Genomic DNA, 1,979 nt, shown 5'->3' with positions numbered 1-1,979 from the left:
TTGCATCTTCAAAATTTTAATTTTCTTAAGCAAGGACTATATCTCTTTGGATACTCAATAACAAACATATTTATTAAGCACTTTATCAAAATTTCCATTATCTAATCATTTAAAATTTATTGAACCAAAAGCTTATTTATTTTCCAAATATTGGGATAACACAGAATACAGAAGTGAAAAAGAAAATAGATGATCTTTGCTTTCCTGAGGTTATACTCCAGAAATAGATGGAAGTTGCCATTTTGATACAATGTAGCAAATTAACATGATTTATGTGTGGATGGGGGTAAAAAAGAGCCTCTTATGATGCCAGTGAAAATCAAAGTATGGATGGCATTCCAGAAAGAAGGTTGAGTGTTTTTAGAGACATGAAAGTATTCTCTGATGAATGACAATAGAAGACTATCATATTGGCCTTCTGGAATAAAGACTCGATTCAGAGTTATTCTTTTATTCAATTTCCCATGGGCACAGATTATCTGAAGCACAAAAACACTGGCACTATTATTTGAGGAGATACGGTTGGAGGAACTAAAACTCCTTTAGGAAAGAGGGGGAGTATGTAGTAATTCCATGAGGAGTTGAGAAGTTGAAATCGCAAAGGATCTGTAGAACCTCTACCTGTCCTTTTTTTTTTTTTTTTTTGGTATGGAATTGACAGGATGTCTGTATAAACATTTAAGTTTTCTTACCTTTGGGGAGCAATAATTTACTTACTATTTTTCATAGCCAATCATCCCATATCATATTTTGTCATAATTTCCAAGAGTTTAGCTTTCGAAATAGAAAAGTAACATGTCAAAATTGATGCATCCAATTTATTTAATTCAATAAAACACTTAAAATTTTTTACTATGTTAGCTATGTCAGAGTTTAAATAAACTCTTTGTTCCTCAATCTTGAAAAGTTTTTCTTAGGCTTATTTCACACACACATAATCGTTGGCTCCATAAACAGGAAATCCTCTACATGAGGTCAGAAATATATCTATTTTTACCTATTTTTGTTTGAAAACTGTCTAATGTAATTGTAAGTATTTGGCTGTGGGTACTAAATATTTTTCATCTTATACACCAAGGCTCTATTTTAATGATCCAGGATTAAAATATTTTCATATTAGATCTGAGGACACTTGGAAATATAATAAATCATTGTTAATCAATGTGTACACCTGACGTTTTCATTCACGAAACAAAGTACCAAATACTACACACAGAATTTTAAAAAAATAAATATATACATACACGTGTGTATACAAACACACATGAATTTCTATATTGTTTCATTTGGATTATTCTTTTGTTGTTGAGAATGTTGTCTTAGTCTTGAAATAGTAAATTCACTTGCGATTGCTAAATCTCAAACTACTGTAAAATTATTTTCCTTTCCTTTCCTCTCCTCTCCTCTCCTGTCCCTTCCTTTCCCTCCCTTTCCCTTTTCTTTTCTTTCTTTTTCAGAGCCTCGCTCTGTTGCCTAGGCTGGAGTGCAGTGCTGTGATCTCAGTTCACTGTAATTTCCACTTCTCAGGTCGAGTTCAAGTGATTCTTGTGCCTTATCCTCTCAAGTAGCTGGGACTACAGGTGTGCATCACCCTCCTGGCTAATTTTTTGTATTTTTAGTGGAGACGGGCTTTTGCCATGTTGGCCAGGCTGGTCTTGAACTCCTGGACTCAAGTGATCTGCCTTCCTCAGCCTCCCAAACTGTTGGGATAACAGGCATAAGCCACTGCACTAGACCAAATAATTTCATTTTAGAACAATTCAGGAAGTAACATGTATTTATATGTCTTCAAAAATATATTAATATTAAAGTTTCCATTTAGTTGAAAAGATTATGCTTTCTTGCTGTCATACTCTCCAAAATTAACTTTTAAAGACTGTCCTTTACTTCTTATCTACTAAGGAATAGGAAAAAAAAAACTCTCCATAAATTTGCCACAGAAACCTGTAAGTATGTTGTTATGCTCCAATAGACAGCTT

The sequence above is a fragment of the Homo sapiens genome, chromosome 12 (assembly GCF_000001405.40).
Source record: "Homo sapiens chromosome 12, GRCh38.p14 Primary Assembly".
In the NCBI taxonomy this organism is placed as follows: Eukaryota; Metazoa; Chordata; class Mammalia; order Primates; family Hominidae; genus Homo; species Homo sapiens.
Note: the sequence above shows the minus strand (reverse complement) of the source record.